General features: G+C 48.0%; 1 protein-coding gene across 6 annotated transcripts in view, besides 1 other annotated feature; it reads left to right on the top strand.

The window, feature by feature from the left end:
* The window catches only part of RPS6KA2 (ribosomal protein S6 kinase A2), a 453,410-nt gene that overhangs the window by 187,350 nt on the left and 245,956 nt on the right, over nucleotides 1–20,104 (top strand). The gene's annotated exons all lie outside the window — the stretch shown is intronic.
* Nucleotides 19,448–20,002: an enhancer, noted in NCBI's record as "H3K4me1 hESC enhancer chr6:167068910-167069464 (GRCh37/hg19 assembly coordinates)". NCBI's record gives its function as "activates a minimal SCP1, AML or CMV promoter by ChIP-STARR-seq in naive H9 embryonic stem cells {active_cell/tissue: H9 hESC(naive)}" and the evidence as "EXISTENCE:reporter gene assay evidence [ECO:0000049][PMID:30033119]".

The following is a 20,104-nucleotide window of genomic DNA, read 5'->3' as shown; positions in this document are numbered from 1 at the left end:
AAGGCAGCTGATTAACAGCGTGGAAACTGGGGCAGGACCAGGGCTGAGAGATGGCAGGTTGGGCTGGGGGAGAGGGAGAGAAAGTGGGACTGAAGGAGCAGGGGTAGGTGGGCTGGAACTGCAGGGGCTTCCCCACTGGGAAGGGGAGGCCGGCCTCCTCCCAGGCATGAAGATGATATGTGGGAGAGACCCTCTTCCCTTTGGCTTTCGTCCTGTTTTCTTTTAAGCAGAAGACTTGGGCCCTGTCCCCAGTGTGAGTGCCCTCCGCTTGCTGGCAAGCTGGGCAGAGGATCCCTATGCAGAAAGCCCTGGCCATGGCACTGGAACCCAAGGAGAACAGAAGAACCTGAGAACCACAGGACCTGATTCGTTTGGTGCACTGCAGCTCACTCTTTATGTGTCTGTGTTGGTGGCAGAATATTTCGTAGAAATATGAAGTTTAAACATTGTCTTTTCGCCAGGCACAGTGGCTCATGCCTATAATCCCAGCACTTTGGGAGGCCCAGGTGGGTGGATCACCTGAGGTCAGGAGTTAGAGACCAGCCTGGCCAACATGGTGAAACCCCATCTCTACTAAAAATACAAAAATTAGCTGGGCGTGGTGGCAGGGGCCTGTAATCCCAGCTACTTGAGAGGCTGAGGCAGGAGAATAGCTTGAACCCGGGAGGCGGAGGTTGCAGCAAGCCCAGATTGCACCATTGCACTCCATTGTGGGCAACAGAGTGAGACTCCATCTCAGAAACAAAAACAAAACACTGTCTTCATCATCATGATGCTTATTTCTGGTTCATGTCCCATATCTTTGAAGTAAGAGTTTTCTTATTTCCATAAACAGCTTCTGAACACATTCCTTGATTTCCTATTTTGTATTTCCTAATTCCCAAGCCCTTTCCTCACCCGGTCTCCCTCTAAAGATATCGACCTCTTGTCCTTGGTGCCTGCTGGGTTGCGTGTCCTGCTGTTGCTCAGACAGACCACCCCTGAGCTGCCTCTCCCTGCTCCCAGGGCAGCAGTCCCACGGTTTAGCGTGGTCCCCATCAGAACGGACACCACAGGCCTCTAACATGCCTGTGTCCCCCTCAGCCAGGCAGCAGCCTCTGCCCAGCGCCCACCTGCCATGTTCAAAGCACTACTGTCCCCAATCAAAGTCAATAACTCTTTCAAATAAGAGGTTTCCTGTTCCCACAAATAACTTCCTGAATGCATTATGTTGCTTTCCTTTTTAAAAATAATCTATTTATTGACATGGATGGCTATAAAAGATTGTCTTGATGAGGAACTCAGCATTTCCTGTTTGCAGACTCTCCAGGGCTCTAAGAGTACCAGTACACAATTTTCTTGATCAGAAAGAAGAATCAACAATCTTGCCCGAACTCTCTTTCCCCAGCGATGCAGCTCTCTTCAGGGCTGTTGACACGCTTTGTGAAGATAGCAACAGCTCCATAGAATTTCACTGAGGAGAAAATGTTCATGGCTCTTTATGTATATTTATCTGATGGTAACTCTTTAGAACGGCACAGTAGGTCTGGATAACAAATCAAAGCTATTTTTAACAGCAAATGGTAAGGAAATTTTGGATGCTTTGGCATGTCTTACGGCAAGCTTAGTTTGGCAGGGCTGCCCAATCTTTGGGTTCTCTGGGCCACACATAAAATACACTAACAATAGCTGATGAGCTAAAAAAAGAAAAATCACAAAAGAAATAATATTTTTAGAAAGTTTACAAATTTGTGTTGGGCCACATTCAAAGCTGACCTGGGCTGCGTGCCGCCTGCAGGCTGCGCTTTGGACAAGTTTGGTTTAGAGTTTGCAAACTTTTGTCCTGTTTTGTGCCTCCTGAGCCATGTGGACCCTCCATCCATCAAATAGCAGCTGGCCCCATGGGCTCAGGGCCAGGTGCTCTGCAGCTGGGAGTCCGTAGGGCTGTGCAGAGTTGTCGACAGGGCACCAGGAGCCCCCCAGGGACAGCGACTCAGTCATTTCTCCTCCAGGGTCCTTGTTGACTGACTGGGCAGCCAGACCTCAGTGCAGCCTGGTCCTGGGCACCCCCTTATGGCAGCTGCAGTTGGAATGACAGCTCTGGGGGGACAAGACTGCTCTGCACCCAGGATCAGTGCTTCCCAAGACCCTCCACAGCACAGAGATCCCTAGAGCCGCAGCCTGCACCCCTGGTCCTGAGAGGAGGCCTTCCTGGGTCTGTGTGCACGTGGAGGAGGGTGGCTCAGAGCGCTACAGTGTAGAGAAGGTGCCCTTCATCCACAGGCACATACGTGACACAGGCCAGAGGGACAGGCAGCGGGAGACTGAGGTTCTGCATCTCCCTTTACAGTGAGTGTGCACCTAGTATAGCAGATGGGAGGAAGTGGGGAGGGAAGGGCAGCTCTGGGGAGGGCTGGGAGAGGGCTCGGGGGCCCACCCAGAGCCTGCAGGTCAGGCTGCTGCACATCAGCTGGCTGCAGCAAGCCCACGCCAACATCAAACCCACGCTCCAAGCCAGGGACGCGGAAGAGTGCGGAGCCTCCTTCTGCCGAGGCTTAAGGCTTACGGCAACTGCCTCTCTTTCAGCCAAGGGGAAGGCTTCCTTCCCTTTGGAGAGGCAATATCTGTGAAGGAGGCAAGGATTTCCTGTCCCCACTACACACAGAAGCAGCAGGCTCCCTGGGACACAGGGGATGGTGGCATCCTCAACTGCTCTCATCCGGTGAGCCGGCCCCCCTCTGAGATCAGCCCTCTGTCCAGTACAATGTCATTCCTTTCTCTCAGAAAATAAACCTTGTAAACAGTATCGCAGTAGAGGAGTAAGCATTTTTTTCTTACTATTTTGGATGGTAAGACTCAGAAATCTAGAAACCAAGAAAAAGAATTGAAGGTATCCAATTGAAATTGCTGCCTGCAAATAAAGCGATGGGTACTCTGCCTCCATGGCACCCACAGAGCCCAGACGATGACTGGAAACATTCTGCAGTGCTAGTTGGAGCTCGAGGGGGACAGGTCAGGAAATCAGTTAAGTATCTTTTTAATTAGCATCCGTGGGTTGACTGGTTATGCTTGTTATCTGCTGTGAATCTAGCAGATGAATAGTATCTGCCGGCTTTCCTTCTCTTCCCTGAATGTTGGCGGCTTCTGGTTGAGTATCGCTTGTGGTGCAGGAGGTATGCAGCACTCAGTGTGTGCGTGGGACTTGTTCCCCGTAGTGTTCTCCGTCCCCACATACCTGGAGCAGTCCCTCCCTCATATCCGCCCTGGGTCTCTTTAACCTCCCGATAACATTTTAACCCAGGGTTTTCCTTGGTGTCTGTACATTTTTTCCAAGTAGACTTTAGAATATACACACAACCTCTAATCCAGCAGCAACTAGCGGGACCCACAGGAAATGCTGAGGTCGTGCACTTGGCTATAACTCGTAAATCATGACTAGGTGGAGACACGCCTGGTTTGGCCACAGGTGTCAGACCCCTGGACTCCTCCCTCTGAACTGAGAATGGACCTTCCTAATCCCCTGCTGTCCTCCTGCGAATCTGAACCTCGGTGAGCTCTGCCCCACCCAATTTGCATCTCTGAGGCTGCTGACTTACTGGTGTGAGATGCTCTGAGATCCCGGCTCTGGCCAGCCCACTGGCCAGTGTCCAGCTCCACCCTTCCCTCCCATGTGCTGGGCAGCCTCTGCTTGTCCCTGTTACCAGGTTTTCAGACTCAGCCTGATATCTGCACCCTGACTTTGCATTTTTCCCTGCGCTGTGTAGATTTCAGAGCACAGAGAAGAAAGTGGATGTTGACAAATTACCCACGGCAGCTCGCTGTCAGATTGCTGACCTTGCCATCTGAGGCTGTGTTGAGTCTTTTCTTACTGGAATAACTTGGCTGGGCTGGTGTGGTTGAAACTGAGTGTCTGTACTTTGATCATGAGAAGAGTCGTGTGGTGGAGCGGCTCCCCCTCCAATATACAGGTCACCAGCGTCAGTACACCATGGGGGCTCCAGGAGTAGTGAATATGACTGCCTTGAGATTGTTGCTATTTAGACCCAGCAGTCCCAGGTGTTAATAGGAAATGCTTTCGACCCAATGCAGCCACAGGTTGGCGTGTCTTGTTTAATTCTGAATAGAGAGGTTACCAGACACACCATCTTTGCTGTAATTACAACAGACCAGGACTAGTGACAAAATGAGATTCTTGTTCCCTCAGCCTGAATTTTAATGACTATCTTCAACTTTTCCAGAAGTATCATTCTACTTGTCTGAAAAATGACCATTTACTCTGCATGGCTCTCATAAAACAGGCAAAAGGAACATTGCATTTAAATAACATGTTGGGGCCAGGCATGGTGACTCATGCCTAGAATTCTAACACTTTGGGAGGTAGAGACGGGTGGATCACTTCAGGACAGGAGTTTAAGACCAACCTGGCCAATGGGGCGAAAACCTGTCTCTACAAAAAATTAGCTGAGCGTGGTGGCACGAGGCTGTAATCCCAGCTGCTCAGGAGGCTGAGCCACGAGAACCACTTGAACCTGGGAGGTGGAGGTTGCAGTCAGCTGACCTCATGCCATTGCACTCCAGCCTGGGCGACAGAGTGAGACCCTGTCTAAAAATAAATAAATAAATAACGTGTTGGACACTTAGTGGAATTTTAGCTGACATTTGAGGGTAGCCTTAAGAGTAGAGAAACTCCCATCATCTGTAGGAACTATCAATTGTTGCGTTTCAAATATGAGAATCAAAATTGTGAATACAAAGGCCCTGAGAGGTGAGGGTCATATTCTTGAATGTTATGCAAAAGCCCACTTTACCTGGATAATCTTGATGTCTAAAATTAAGATCACACTTATGTTTTAGGAGGGATACTCATTGAAGACTAATCACTTCAAAGTGTGGCAGTCATGTTACTCAGAATGAAATAGTATGTTTCAATTTTTTACGAGGTGTACTAACTACCTTTAGTACATAACAAATTACCCCCAAACTTACTGGCATTAAAAAACAAAAGAGGCATTTACTGTCTCACCATTGCTGTGGGGGCAGAAGTGTGGCTGCAGCTCAGCAGTTCTTCATGAGGCTACATCCAGCTGTCAGGCAGGGCTGTGGTCTCATCCGAAGGATGACGTTGGGGAATCACTCCCAAATTCACTCATGCGCGTGTTGCAGGGCTTACAGCCTCACCACATGGACCTCTCACCAGGCTGCCGAAAAGGGCAAGGCCGCACGGACCGGTGAAGGATGAGTGTGATTTTCCACTCCCTATTACCTTTACATAGGGAAGGGCACCCTGAACGCAGCACCTGAGCTTTCCTGTGACTGGAAGTGTACATTCTCCACATCCTATTCAATGTGTTGGCACTGCCATTTGCACCTCTGTGAGGCTCATGCCTGCAAGGCCCTTCTCCTGAGTGCCCTCATCTCTGGATGCCCTGGAAAGGCTGCAGTTCTGAACCTGCAAGAGGGAGGAGCAACCCTCAACCCACAGTGGTTGCCCCTGGCAACTCCTCCATAGGACTTCCCGGGCCCCACGTGGGTTCCTCCTTGCTATCACACCTGCAGGAGGGTGGCTACCCTCAAACCATAGTAGGTCTCCCCATAGGCCCTGGCCTACCCTGGACCTCGGTAGGAATCACCAGTGAGGAATGAGGAGGGGGTGAGGCAGGGAGCAGCCAGAATCTTGTCTTTCACCCACTGGGATGAAGCATCACAGGCATGAGCTGATAAACCAAGAGCAAACGCGGTGGGTCAGGCTGGAGAGTGAGCTGGCAGGGGATGGGGAGGAGCAGGGATCCCAGAGGCAGCAACAGGGCTTTGGCCACACCCAGAAGGCAGCGAGACTTGGAAGTGCAGGCTACTAGACAGTCTTGCAGCCAACGGTGCTGGGCCCCGTGCAATTCCAGCACTCAAGGGAGACTCTTTGGAGCCATCATGAAAACGCAGTAGGACCTGACTTGGGGCAGGTTCTCAACCCCCAACAGAGGCGAGGGTGAGGCAGAATCCAGGAACATGAATTTGGGATCAGACAGTGTGTTGACTACATAGCTGTCCTCTCTCAGCTCCAAACCCACCCTCTACACATGGCCTGGGGGAGCAGATGGGCTGGGAGCCTCGTCCATGTTCCATGTCCACTGCCCCATGCACCCTGTGAATAGAGGGTGCCAGAGAGACAGGCAGCCCGGGGGAAGGAGCAGGTGCTGATCCCCCAGCTCTGCCTCATATTCCTGTCACTGTCCCCATTAAGACCTCCTAATGCTGGCCAGGCACGGGGGCTCATGCCTGTAATCCCAGCACTTTGGGAGGCTGAAGTGGGCGGATCACTTGAGGCCAGGAGCTCAAGACCAGCCTGGGCAACATGGTGAAACCCCGTCTCAACCAAAAAATACAAAAATTAGCCAGATATGGTGAGGCACACACCTGTGGTCCCAGCTTCTTGGGAGGCTGAGGTGGGAGGATCACTTGAGCCTGGGAGGTCGAGGCTACAGGGAGCCGTGGTGATCACATCACTGAACTCCTGCCTAGGTGACAGAGTGAGGCCCTGAAAAAAAAAAAAGAAAAGAAAGAAAGGAAGGAAGGAAGAGAAAGAAAGGCGGGAGGGAGGGAGGGATGGAGGAGGGAGGGAGGGAGGGATGGAGGGAAGGAAAGAAAAGGAAAAGAAAAAAAGAAAGGAAACCTCTTAATTCTGGCAAAAGCTATTGGAACCAGTTTCTGGTTTTCATTTACATGTCCATTTATTTTGCCTGCTTCCCAGAACCAGCCTCCCTGTGCCTCTTCAGAGAGGCTCCCAGCAGCTGAGCACTGCCTCCGTTCTCAGTGTTCCCAGGTTGTCACGACACCACCCTCTTCCCTCGGTCTAAGGAGCTGCTTCCCTGCAGTTACCATCTTGGGGTTACTGGGGGTTCCTCTGCCTTTCCAGCCTTCCAGCCTTACTCAGCCAATTCTTTGTATGAAACACTTTCTGTGAAATAACTGCTGTGGTTCCCGCTCTCCTGATTGGCCCTGAGTCGTTCAGATGCCGAGTCCCTGCCTGGCCATGAAGCACAGCCTCACGTCTGACGCTCTTGTGGCTTGGAATGGAAAAGGCCACAATCTGGCTGAAAGCGACGGGCTCTCAACACTACCCCACCATATGAACTGAGGGGTGAGGTGCCAAGGGCCCCACACAAGGGAAGGAACGAGGGTGGGCTTGGATTTGGGACTTCACGCCTCATGCTTTGTGTTCAGGAACGCTGTCTTCACTCTGCATTTCCTTCAGTTTCTCCAAATGCTCAGGGAAACCAAACCTCGCTTGCACTGCTCGGTGGCATTGCAGTCCTGTTCCTGCTCGTTTGTGTCACTCCAGCTCTCCAGGAACCTGGCATTGTCCTTTCCCTGGCCCCACCCTGCACACTGAGTGCTTTAATCCAGGAGACTGTGTTCTGTATATGTGCCCATCAATCTCCAAACATCTCATGAGCTCCCGCTGTGTGCGGGCTGTGCTCTTCCCCTCTGGCATCTGTGTCTTTACTTTCTACCAACGACGCAGGCAGGAACTCCCTCTTTTCTTTGTACACTCAGGGCCCAGGGGTTTCAGAGTCTGGCAGGCACTGGCTTGAAAGGTTCCTTATGACACCAAGGGCTGTGGTTCTCATTATTCAGATTGTCTTCAGGTTTTACCTCATTCAAAACGCCTAGCTGTAGTGTTAAAGGTGTGATCCCCTCCCTCCAAAAGTTGCTGATTCTACCCAGTTTATCCCGGTTACCTTCTTTGGCTCGTGATTCTGAGTTTCCACAATTGCAGGGGGTCGGGGTGCACAGTCACTCTCTTAGACCCACCCAAGTGGTCCTCAGGTGTAGAAAGTTTGAAAGCTGATATCTATGAGAAACTGCTTTCCTGTGACATTTTTCCTGACTAAATGACATGAAATCCGGCCTGTACATCTCATCTATGGCGACATTAGAAGGATTTAGGTTTTATTCAAAGGCAGGCACAAGGTATCAACAGGTGTTTTGAGCTTATGGTTCAAGCATGTTAAAACAAAATAGCAGGCAAATTAGTAATTTTCATTAGGTATATTTTCTGTAGTTTAAAATGCTATAGAATAAGAAATTATCGACATAACTATGTGTAACTATGTGCTGTTATATATCATGCACATATACTGCAGTTACATTTATCCTTACACTTAAAAATTTTTAATTATGAGTAAAACATGTGACGTTAAATTTACCGTCTCAAGCATGTGTCAGTGTGCAGTTCAGTGGTATTGGGTACACTCACATTGCTGTGCAACCATCACCACCATCTTTCTCCAGAACTCCGTTCCTTTCTCAAAACGGAAATGCTACCCTTTAAGCAATAACTCTTTTTCCCCCTAATCCTCATCCTCTGGTGCCACCATTCCACTCTCTGTCTCTATGATTTGAGTATTCTCGGTACCTCACGTAAGCGGAATCATACAGTATTTGTCTTTTTGTGATCAGCTTATTTCACTTCACATAATGTCCTCCAGGTTCATCCACATTGCAACGTGCGTCGTCATTTCCTTCCATTGTGTGCCTACACCGCACTCTGCTACCCATCCATCCACCAATGAACACTGAGGTTGCTTCCATCTTTTGGCTACTGTGAATGATGCTGCTATGAATGTGAGTGTACAAATGTCTCTTTGAGGCTCTGCTTTCCATTCTTTTTGGGTATATACTCAGAAGTGAAAGTTGCTAAATTATATGGTTATTCTATGTGTAACTTTCTGAGGAATGGCCATACTGTTTTCCAGAGCTCCTGCACCGTTTTACATTTCCACCAACAGTAAACAACAATTCTAATTTTTCAGCACCCTCGCCAACACTCATTATGCTATTTGTTTTGATGTAGCTATCCCAACAGGTGAGAGGGGGTATCTTATCGGGTGTTGATTTGCTTGTGGTGTTGATTTGCATTTCCCTAAGGATTAGTGACTGGCGTTGAGCATCTTTCCATATGCTTCTTGGTCATTTGTATATCTTCTTTGGTGAAATTATCCTTATATTTTATAAACAACACATAACAGCATTTGAAATGGTACTTTCTAGCATTTTGACACAACTGACAAATGTCAGGATCTGAGTACCTGACTAGCTAGTGGAACATTATTATTGATGCGCTAGGAAGATGGATGGGTTTACACATCATCCCCTGCTTTTACAGAGTGCTCCCTTGCCCCCTACTTTGCTGGGAAGATGCCAGTCCCGCCCCCTCTCTCTGATGCACAGCAGAGCACTCACTAGATGGGGCAGACCCCGTGACCCAGGCAGGCCTTGCTGAAAGAGTCTCCAATTTTAGACACCAACTTCTGAAGTGAGTTCAGCTTTTTCCTGCCATCATTTGCGGATCAATCAGCTGGGAGAAGATTGGCTTTCAATAACTTTTCTATTTCTAGATTGCTAATCTCTGCTCCTTCAGATCGCAGCCTGTGGTGATGTGGGCTTTTCCACTTGATTTAAGCTATATATACATGATTGGGTTCATCATCATGATGTCAAAGAAGGCTCCTGAGCCTCTCAGAAACTGGATTTCACATGTGAATTTCCTGCCCAGGAAGCAGGCTGGGGGCCGTGCTGAGCAGAGCTGCACCTTCTTCTGATCCAGCTCTGCCTCTGTGAAGGTTGCTTTTCTCATCCTCACTCGGCTTCCTTCTCCGTGACATGAACAACCAAGTTTCTCCCCAAAACGAGGTTCAGAACAAGCTCTGCAAGTGGGGCTCATTTCATGGGACCTAAGCTTGGTCAGGGCCGCCTGCAGCTTGCTGGGAGACCTTCAGTAGCAAACTTCATGTCTCCGGTGCTTGTTCTAATGAGGGTCGCACTGGCTCTGGAGTCTTTCAGAAGAGAACACGTTTCTGAAAGTAGTTTGCATCTGTGCCCTGGCTGCTGTCCCTTTGTTCTTTCCTGTACTCTTCATACCATGCGCCACAAAGGTGGGGAAGTCACATGGGGGTCTTCTCAGAGGGGAGGGTGGGACTGGGCTCCTGGAGATTCGGCTTTGTCCAGCAGCTTTGTGCAGCTGCTGCTGCAAACCCTTCTTTGGGTTTGGGTGACATTGGGTATAGGCACACCAGACAAAGCCCAGAGGCAGCTGCAGAGAGACTCAGTTCATCCTTCATTAGTATTCTTAACATCAATTTAGGGACACTCTTATACACCTCGGGGTGCTCCTGTAAGTCACACCATGGTGTGTGTACCTGAGGATGAAATCTCACAATCTTTCACCTGAGTTAGTATCTTGGGGGGCATTCCTCTGTCTGTGAGCCCTGCAGATGTTGTTCTGTATGGAAGGCAGAACTTGAACACCCTGACAGCTATGAGACTGAAGGCTACACGCCACCATGCCTGGCTAATTTTATTTTTTGTAGAGATGGGGTCTCACTATTTTGCCCAGGTTGGTCTCCAACTTCTGGGCTCAAGCAATCCTCTTGCCTCAGCCTCTCAAAGTACTGGGGTTACAGGTGTGAGCCGCCACACCTGGCCAGACTTGTTTTCTCTTATCCTCAACTTCCAGATGTTTCCAATGGAGCTCATGTTCCTAAAGGAGTCAGGAGGACTATCTGTGTTCAGGAGGCGAAAGCTGGCTCTCTGCACCTCATATCCAGTAGGGGCCTCATCCGTTGTATCATCTTTCTTTTCTTTTCTAGCACACTCTCTATTAGAATAATCTCTTGCAAATACCACTTAATAGAATATTTTCTTGCTCAGTAGGTTCTTAATATATAATGTATAAAACTGAATTTTGTAACTAAAAAACAGTCAAAAGTTTTGCAATTCTCTGTGGTTGGCCTAATAATTTGTTTATGTTACCATTCAATATTTTTTAAGTTGAGCTTTGCAATCTCTATTCTTACAAGAAACAACATGTAAACACACAGAAGCAGAATACAAGTGTGAGTGTGTAGAAATGTTTGTGTGTGTGTGGATTCCTCCATGCCGCAAGGGGCAGGCACAGTTTCATCTTCCTGATGCCCTTAAAATATCTTCTGAAGCTCACATTTGGTGTTGAGTGTATATTTCAGTGAGTGGTTCCAAGAAAATGCGCCTCTTAAATGAGTGTGCTGACATTGACCATGACCAACAGTTATCACCCGGAAACTTAAAGTGTTTACTTTCAGTCCCGTGGAGCAGCGTTCCAGCTGTGAGCTCACTGGGCTCAGTAGAAGGAGGGATGATGATGCCCTTTTGATTGCCAAGGTTCACTTAGAGTGGGACCAATGGAAATGGAAACAGAAACTTCAGGGTAATGTTTGTTATGGTCTCAGAAGGTGAACAGAGCTTGGGAAATTAAATCAATTGCAAAGGCAATGCTAAAAAGAATGGCCTATCCTATGTGCAATGTGCAGATGGACACATAAGTTATTAACGCTTCTAACAAATTTCCTCTATGACACTTAATGTTTATAAAGCACTTTCAACCATGACTGAACTGTCAGAAAACCTATGAGATGGGTAGAGGTGGCCCTGCTTTACAGATAATAAAACAGAGACATCTCAAGTCTAAGTGGTTTGTGGAGTCCCACAGCTAATAATCAATTTTGAACTTAAACTCAGGTCTTGCCATTTACCCTCATGCTCTTTCTGATACCATATTTCCTCTTTCTTTAACATCAAGTGAGGCTTGACTGTCAGCTCCAGGTGGGTGCAGCGCCGAAGCCTGTGTCCCAGCAGTTGCTGTGTTCATCCTCCCATCCACCCTGACCCTCCTCCTCCTCCCCAACTTCCTTCCTCTAAGGCCCTTCCGGGATAGGGTGGGGCCTCTGGCGGCAGCTTCCCAGCAGGTGTTTTCCCCTGTTGCATGTTCTTAGAGGGATGGTAGGAATAGTTATTCGACAGGAAGCCACGCTGTTGGGGAAAATAAGGTATTCCTTTTGGAGAAGGGACAAACCAAAGACCCAAAGAGGGGAATAACCCTGTTTATATTTTTCTATCCAGCCACTCACAGAGTAGCATCTTCCCTGAAGAACTCCTTGGCCGTGGTGGAGAACCCGCTCTCAGTAGAGAAGTGGACTGTGCTTTGTGCTTTCTCAGGGTGCAAAGCCTGGGTTCTGGGGGCTGGGGTGGGCTGCAGAGCACTATGAGATTCACGTTCATTGTCACTCGCAGGTTTTTCTGCCCTCCTGGGAGCTCTCTTTTCCAGCTGCATTTAATAGCCCTTGGGTAGAGCAAAGCTGACCTGAGTGAAGATTTTCATCCTTGCCTTCTGGGATGATACAGTAGGAAGATTATCTATTGGTTTTTGTTTCTTGGCCACCTTTCAATTCTGATCTTTGATGAGAGAAGCAGTAGAGACAGCTCAGTTTTCTGTTAACATATTAGTCTGCTCAGGCTCCCCTAACAATGGATTGGTTCATCCTTTTAGAAGTAGACTGGGCAGTTCAAACAGCAGACCCTTAATGTCTCTCAGTTCTGGAGGCTTGAAGCCCAGTTCGAGGTCTTGGTGGGGCTGGTGTCTTCCGTGGCTCTCCTCTTGCTTGCAGATGGCGCCTCCTCCCTGTCCTCGCGTGGCCGTTCCTCCATACACAGAGGCGGCCCCGGTGTCTCTGCGTATTCAGACTTCCTCTTCTTCTAAGGACAGCAGTCAGAGCGGATAAGCACCCACTCCGAGGCCTCATTTAATGGAATTCCCCTTTGAAAGGTCCTCTCTCCACACAGTCACAGTCTAAGTACCAGAGGTTAGGACTTCAACATATGAATTTGGAGAGCACACAATTCAGTCCATAATAGTTAATTTGGTTTACTGGATTATGATGAAATATTGGGTTTACAAGCTAAACCAGAGAATCCAGGTATATGATACACAAGTCAAATTCATATACTCCCAACACTATATCTGAATCTGTGTCCATATTTTCATATTGAATCTCTTTCCTGGAACTGGTGCAAACTAACTGGTGTTCATAACATAAATAACCCTCATAATGCTAAGAGACTCTTTCCAAACATAAAACTGCACTCCTGTAACATAGGCATTGGATTTGCAAGCAGAGCTGTTCTTACGTCCCCAAAGAAAGCAGATATCTAAAGTGTCTGTAATTTGGAGTAAGTTTTCATACCTCCTGCGCCAACCCATCTCTTACCACCCCTGCATCAAATACGTCCTTTGCCTGCCAATGGATAGCTAAATTACCTTACTGAAAAGACTGTCACCCCGTAATAGCAGCCAAATCTTACAATGGCAATATCCCAGAAAAAAGAATACCAGTGAATTAAAGGTACATGAAGCAGAGAATTCAACACCTACGATAATCTTCAAAGATTAAAAAGAATAATTTGATAACATTTTAGACAGTTTCTGATTTTAAAATATTAAGTAGGTAAAAATTAAGAAATATTCATAATATGATAAACAACCCCTATCTTTACTCACTTAATACTGTCCCATTAAATCAGGAACAAAGCAGGGATTCTCACTAGTCCCGTTAAGAATTTGTGTTAACGAGGAATTGAACTGGAGTAAAACATCCTGAAATAGTTCTTCAATATGTACTGTGTTATAAAGGGAGAGATATGTACGATTCAATACAACATGTGGGAAAGTTGGCTATGGGTAAAGAAGCTCCTCCCTTCATAGTGTACTCGAAAACAACTTCCAGATGGGCCACAGTCAAATAAAAATAACTGAATTATAAAAAAAGACAAAATACTCTAGAATATTTAACCGATTTCAGAAAGAGAAAAGGCTTTGTAAGCATGCATGCAAAGGAAAGAAAATCTCACAAAAAAAGAAGCTATTCGATTTGACTTACTAAAATATTGAAAACTATTAATATGTCAAAATTTAAAAATGATAAGGCAAATAGACTAGAAAATATAAATGTAGATTTTATATTTATTATATAGGGAGACTATGATAAAAAGTTAATTCAGTCATATACCAAAAACTCTTAGAAAACAATAAGAAAATTGCTGACTCTGCAATAGGAAAAATGAGGCAAAGGACTCGGACATAATTTACAAATAGAAAAATAATACAAACAGCCATCAAATATTTTAAACATGACTACTAATCAAATAAATGCAAATTAAAATAGTAAAAGATTTTGGCCATACAGCGGTGGCTCATGCCTATAATCCTAGAACTTGGGGAGGCCGAGGCGGGCGGATCGCCTGAGTTTAGGAGTTTGAGACCAGCCTGGCCAACGTGGTAAACCCTGTCTCTATTAAAAATGCAAAAATTAGCCATGCGTGATGATGGGCACCTGTGATCCCAGCTACTTAGCAGGCTGAGGCAGGAGAATCGCTTGAATCCAGGAGGCAGGGGTTGTAGTGAGCTGAGATCGCACCACTGCACTCCAGGCTGGGCGACAGAGCGAGAGCCTGTCTCAACAACAACAAAAAGAAAAAGATTTTGGCCATACAAATTGGCAGTTTTTAAAGGGCAATACTTAATGTTAACAGGCATTATTTGAGAAACACGAGGTAAGATTATGGATTGGTTCACCCTTTTACAAAGCAAGTTGACATATGTCTCATTAACCTCAAAATTTTTATGACTTTTAACTCAGTACTCCAATTTGCAGGAACGCATTTTAAGCAAACCATAAGGAATTAACTCACGATTTACGTTCATGAATGCTCTGTGCTGTTATTTTTTATTTAAAAAAAAATCCATCAATGGGGGAGTAGTCAAACCATGCCACCCAGGTAAAGAGGATATTATGCAGCCGTCAGAAAACCCGAGGAAACGCCTGCTAGACAGCACTAAGGGAAGAGATTGGGCTCAAGAACAGCACATACTGTAAAGGCTGTTTGGTGGGTGTTCTGTTACACACTCTCATGTAACCCAAATGATTCTTTGAAATACTGATCCTTTTTGTGATTACACTATTAATTGTGTAGGTAATTATTCACTTTATGTTTCTTCAAATAGAATTTATCCTTATGAGGCAGGAGCTGTGTTTATCTTGGTTGTCACTGTGTCCCTAGGAAGGCTATGCCTGGCATGATGTCTTGTGTGACAGGCAGACACTCAAATATTTGTTCAGTAATCTCTCTCCTCCCTCCCTTCTTCTCTCTCTCTCACACACACACACACACACACACACGCACGCATGCCCATACACATGCACACACATGCACACACGCACGCACACACCAACCCGCACACACACACATGCACACACACACACATGCACACACACAATGAGATACAGGAGGCAGACTTACACATTAGAAAAAATGGACCAGAACAATAGCACTGATTACTTATGGGCAGTACAATTATGGATTCTTTAGTTTTAAAAAGTGGCATCATGTATCCATCTAATTTATGAAACAATGAGCTATTGAAAGTAGTGGAAAAAAAGTAAAACAGAGTTTAAAATTCCTCAGTTCTCCTAATGGGAAATGTTTGTTTAACACTTTCCAGTTTATAGAATTAATTATTGGCCAGGTGTGGTGGCTCACGCCTGTGAGCACAACACGCTGGGAGGCTGAGCTGGGAGGATTACTTGAACTCTGGAGTTCAAGGTCAGACTGGGCAACATAGAGACCTTGTGTCTAAAAAAAAAAAAATACAAAAAATGTATTAGTTCTTAAACATTCTTAATTTACTTGGATTCTTACAACCAGCCAGTGAGATAAGAGCAGCTACCACCGCATGCTGTCACTGAGGGAGTGGGCTCCCGAGGTTCGCTGGTCCCCCATCCCGCAGTCGGTGCTAGAGCTGTACGGCGGCAGGGCCAGCCTGGGCAAAGGACGTCAAGCCACCACGCCGTCCAGCGCTGGCTCCCACCCGTGTCCACTGACCAGTGGCAGCACTAAAAATAACTACAGACTCCCCCAGCTCTGAGTTCTTGGTGCCAGATGACTCTCCTTCTCCTTACGCTCCACTCCCTGGAATGATTGATAACCTACTATGCCTTGCACAGAGTAGATGTTCAATAAGATGCATATTTATGGCTACAGCCTCTGTTTGGAAAACAAGACAAAATTTGGAAGCAAATACTTTCTTTCCAGGTTAGTGAAGTAAAAGCAACAAAAGCCATCCTCCCTGAGTGGCCTTGGCTCTGTCCTGCACGATCGTCTTCCTGAGGATGGCCCCCTCTCCCCTCCCCGGCCACCCCTCACCCAGAGCCTTCCAGAACTGTGCAGAGGTCAGCAGGGAACAGCTGGGGGAGACTGTTAGTGCAATTAGTTTTGTCAGCCTGTGTTTAATTTAAAAACATAATGAGCGATTCCACACAGTTTTAATTTTGGTTTTTAATTAATAGGGCTGAAATTGGGAAATGGCACTTTTTGTCTTAATTTTTTTTAGCCTGTCTGACTTCATGCTCATTTTCTTCATGCTCATTAGTGCTTCATTTTGGACACCTGTCCAATTTGCACAGTCAGTTGGTGACTCTGTGATCCCCATGTAAGCGCCACAAAAGGGGGGGTGTTGTGGGGAGCTTCTTACCTCCCAAGGGTCACTGGGACCACAGTTTACCGGAGAAGCATGTATGATTCTGGGGAAGCCTGTGGATGTCATTGGTCGGGGTATCTAATTACTCAGTCACGTGTCGGGGCGGGTTCCCAGCATGTCTGCCCTTTGCCCAGAGCTCTCCTCACCCCATGCTGACCCATGTGTCTTGTACAGAGCAGGGGCGAGTTCCAGAGAGAGTCTCTCTAGTGATGCCGTTGAGGAACACGGAGGGTTTAGGGCCTTAAGTTTCTCGGACTTAAATAGTTCAACAAGTTTCCCTTGCACAGATGAAGGTCAGAATTGCCAACTTCAACACCACAAACCACTCTTGAATTGCACAGGCGAACCCTGGCACTCCCATCCCGCATGTTTTTATCATTATCAGTGTCTCCTACTCCCCGTGCCCTGGGCTGGCTCTGCCAGGGTGTCCCGGTACATCCTGACATGGAAGATGACTTTTATCAAGTAGTCTGGCCTTGTCTGAAAAGTTTTCAGTGCGTGGTTTTGAAGTGGTCTCTGACCCCCGATGCTGTCCCACCCCTGCCTTGTGTCATTTGTGGGATTTGCATAAAGTGAAGTATCCATGAAACACCAGAGAAGGAGAGAGCAGCTGACAGCTGAGTGACACGGCGACCAGCTCCGCAGCTGTGAGATCCTGAAGGGTTTGGCTCGGGAAGCCTTGTGATCTCTGCGTACAGTGGGCCAAGGCTGTGCACAGGGCTGTCGGGCATCACATGCAGCGTTCAGCATAGTCACGGATGCACCCTGGGCTCAGCAGGGCTGACCCTGCTTCCTCACCGAGGCCATCAACTTGGTGCCACCCCCAACACAAATCACGCCCAGGAGTAAAAAATCCTGGGCTGGCCACAGTGGCTCATGCCTGTACTCTCAGCACTTTGGGAGGCCGAGGTGGGCGAATCACCTGAGGTCGGGAGTTTAAGACCAGCCTGACCAACATGGAAAAACACCATCTCTACTAAAAATGCAAAATTAGCCAGGCATGGTGGCACATGCCTGTATCCCAGCTACTTGGGAGGCTGAGCCATGAGACTCGCTTGAACCGGGGAGGTGGAAGTTGCGGTGAGCCGAGATCTCGCCACTGCACTCCAGCCTGGGTGACAGGGTGAGACTCCGTCTCAAAAAAAGAAAGAAAAGTGAATTCCTCCCAGCCAGGTTTTCTGCAGAAACACATCTGCAGTTCAGGTTTTCGGTCTTCAGGCCTCTTGTCCGCATTTGTATGACTTCTGGCCTCAAAAGCAGAACTCGCCCTGCTCTCAAGTGAGCGAAATCTGCCTGCACCTCTGAGGCAAATTGGCACCAGGGCTCAGCCTCTTCCCGTTCTTCTCCTTCCAACGCCTAGCACACTCTCCTTAGAAACCACAAGGCCCAGATGTCCGGCTCCTGTCCTTTTAATCATCTGTCGAATGCTCTGCAGAACCTTCCTACAACTTCCTAAATTAACCATCATAATAACTGCTCACCAACACCTCCCTCCCCTGGTTCCCACAAGGGTTCCGTGTCGTTAGTTTCAGGCAATGAGGACGTATTCCTCTTTTTCTACAACCAAGGAATGTTGTTATCATAAATATTTGAGCTTCATCTGTACCATCTTTTGGTGAATTTACTTTCATTTTTGTCGTTGAAAATAAGACACTTTTCTCTCGTATCTGTTTAAAGCTTCCCTAAAGTTTTTTTTTTTGTTCTGTTTTGTTTTTAGAAAATCGTCAAAAGCAGGACAATTATCATCTAACACTGATTTACCCCTCACAAGGACTCTCATTCCCTTATCTAACTTTGCTTGTTATTCTGTGTGTTTCCAAACAGAAAGAAATGCCCTCGCCCGCCCAGGCAGTGGGTTTCCTAGCCCATGATGAAGTTCTCCTTTTCCTCGTGTGGCTCCTGGGACCTGGCGCCAGGTGCGGCTGGTGCTCCGCAGCTCCAGCCCTGCTCCCCACCGTCTCTGTGTTGGGGGTGGGGCTCTTCCCGTTTCCTGGGTGAGGAAGCAGCTAGGAGAGTTCAAGGTCTCGACCAGGTTCTGGCAGGGAGTCAGAGACTCAGATTCTAGGCTTGGGGCCCCAAGGACAGAGTGGCCATCCTGCGTCATTTCTCTGAGTCAGAGAGAGTCTCACCAAACCCCAGTGCCGCAAGAATAGTTCTGTTAATTGGGCACCATCTGTTTGCCCGGGCTTTCACATGCACCGCGGTGAATCTGGACAACGGCCCTGGGAGGCGATGGCACCTACCTGAGCCAGGGGCTGGGGATCGGGGCCCTTCCCATCCTCCCTTTTCCACAGGGAATTCTGGCCTGCCGTTCCCACAGCAGGTGAACCGCGCAGTGCTGCACTTGCTTCTGTTGCCTGTGTGGATGAATGCGACCTCAGCTGGGAGCTCCGGGAAATCGGGGCTGCTTCATATGGTCTTTCCATCCATCTTCGCATCCCAGAGACCAGGGCTGGAGGCGGAGGCAGAGTCACGGGAGCACCTGCCGGGCCCACCTGCCGAGGCCCTGCTGGAGGGGAATGGCTGTTCCTCATTCAGGAGGCACAGGCCTGTGGGGAGATGCCCCTGTGTCCGAGCCACACCACTCAGGCAGGGCAGGGGAGGCCCCTGGGGTGAACCGAGTTCCACCCCCGCCCAACCCTTCACAGAGGAAGACGCCTTTGGGTTGGGGCGAAGAGCATTTCCCAGACCATCGTCCTGCCCACTCCCTCTCTTGTTTCTCTCCTCCCCCTTCTTCTTCTTCCCTGCCTCTCCCCTCCCTCCCTTTCATCTCCTCTCAGAGACCGCTAACGCCAGACCCCTCTGTCAATGATTTCCTTGTTTTCTTTATATCTTTACCCATGTAGCATTTTCTAAGCAATAAGCTGTGTTTTACCTGTTTTTGAGGCTTATGTAAATAAGAAGCTCTCGGTGAGCTTCCACCGTGTCTCTCTTCCTTTGTTCACGGTTCTAGGCGTGAGCTTCCCCTGTGTTTAGAGGTGTGTGCTGTGCACACTCAGGCAGCCCATGCTCACTGTTGTGTAGTGTTCTGCCACGTGTATCTACCGCAGGGCGCCTGTTCCTTCCACCATTGCTAGAGATTGTGGTGACTTCTGGCGTGTGGCTATCCTGCAAAGACAGCTACAGGTATTCCTGGGCGTGTCTCCGAGTGCACCTGCTGGGGCTCTGCTCCATGTAGTCCTGAGGTGGAGTCGCTGAGCCGTGGGCCTGCACATCTTCAACCTGATGAGATTGTTGTTTTCCAAACTGGTGGCGCCCGTTCACACTCTCGCCAGCCCAGTGTGGGAGTCCTGGCTGCTTCATGTGTTTCCAACCTTTTATAGTCAGTAAGATCTTACTAGCTATGAGATATTTTGAATTATAACAAGAAAGACATATGCATCTTGGTTCTGATGGAGAGTTTTAATTTTTTATTTGGTACCTTATGTGAAGCTAGAACCTTTCCAGCCTGGTCTTCAGTTACCCGCCCTGCTCTGTCTCAGATCCACCAGCCAGGTGTGTAGCCTCCAGCCCAGGCTGTGGCAGAATCCTCTGCAGACCGGCCTGAGTTGGCAGCCACTGGAGATACACGTGGTTCCCAGGAGTCCGCTCTGTTTGTTCCCTGACCTGTTTGTACTACTTTGCACACATGACATCATTCACCACATTTCACTGACTCCGGGTGCAAATATTGTGTCTGCACGTTGTCACCAACATCAGTTGTGGGTGGTGCAGTGATGC

Source organism: Homo sapiens, chromosome 6, assembly GCF_000001405.40.
Source record: "Homo sapiens chromosome 6, GRCh38.p14 Primary Assembly".
NCBI classification, from domain to species: domain Eukaryota; kingdom Metazoa; phylum Chordata; class Mammalia; order Primates; family Hominidae; genus Homo; species Homo sapiens.
Note: the sequence above shows the minus strand (reverse complement) of the source record. Positions and strands in the feature narration are given on the sequence as shown.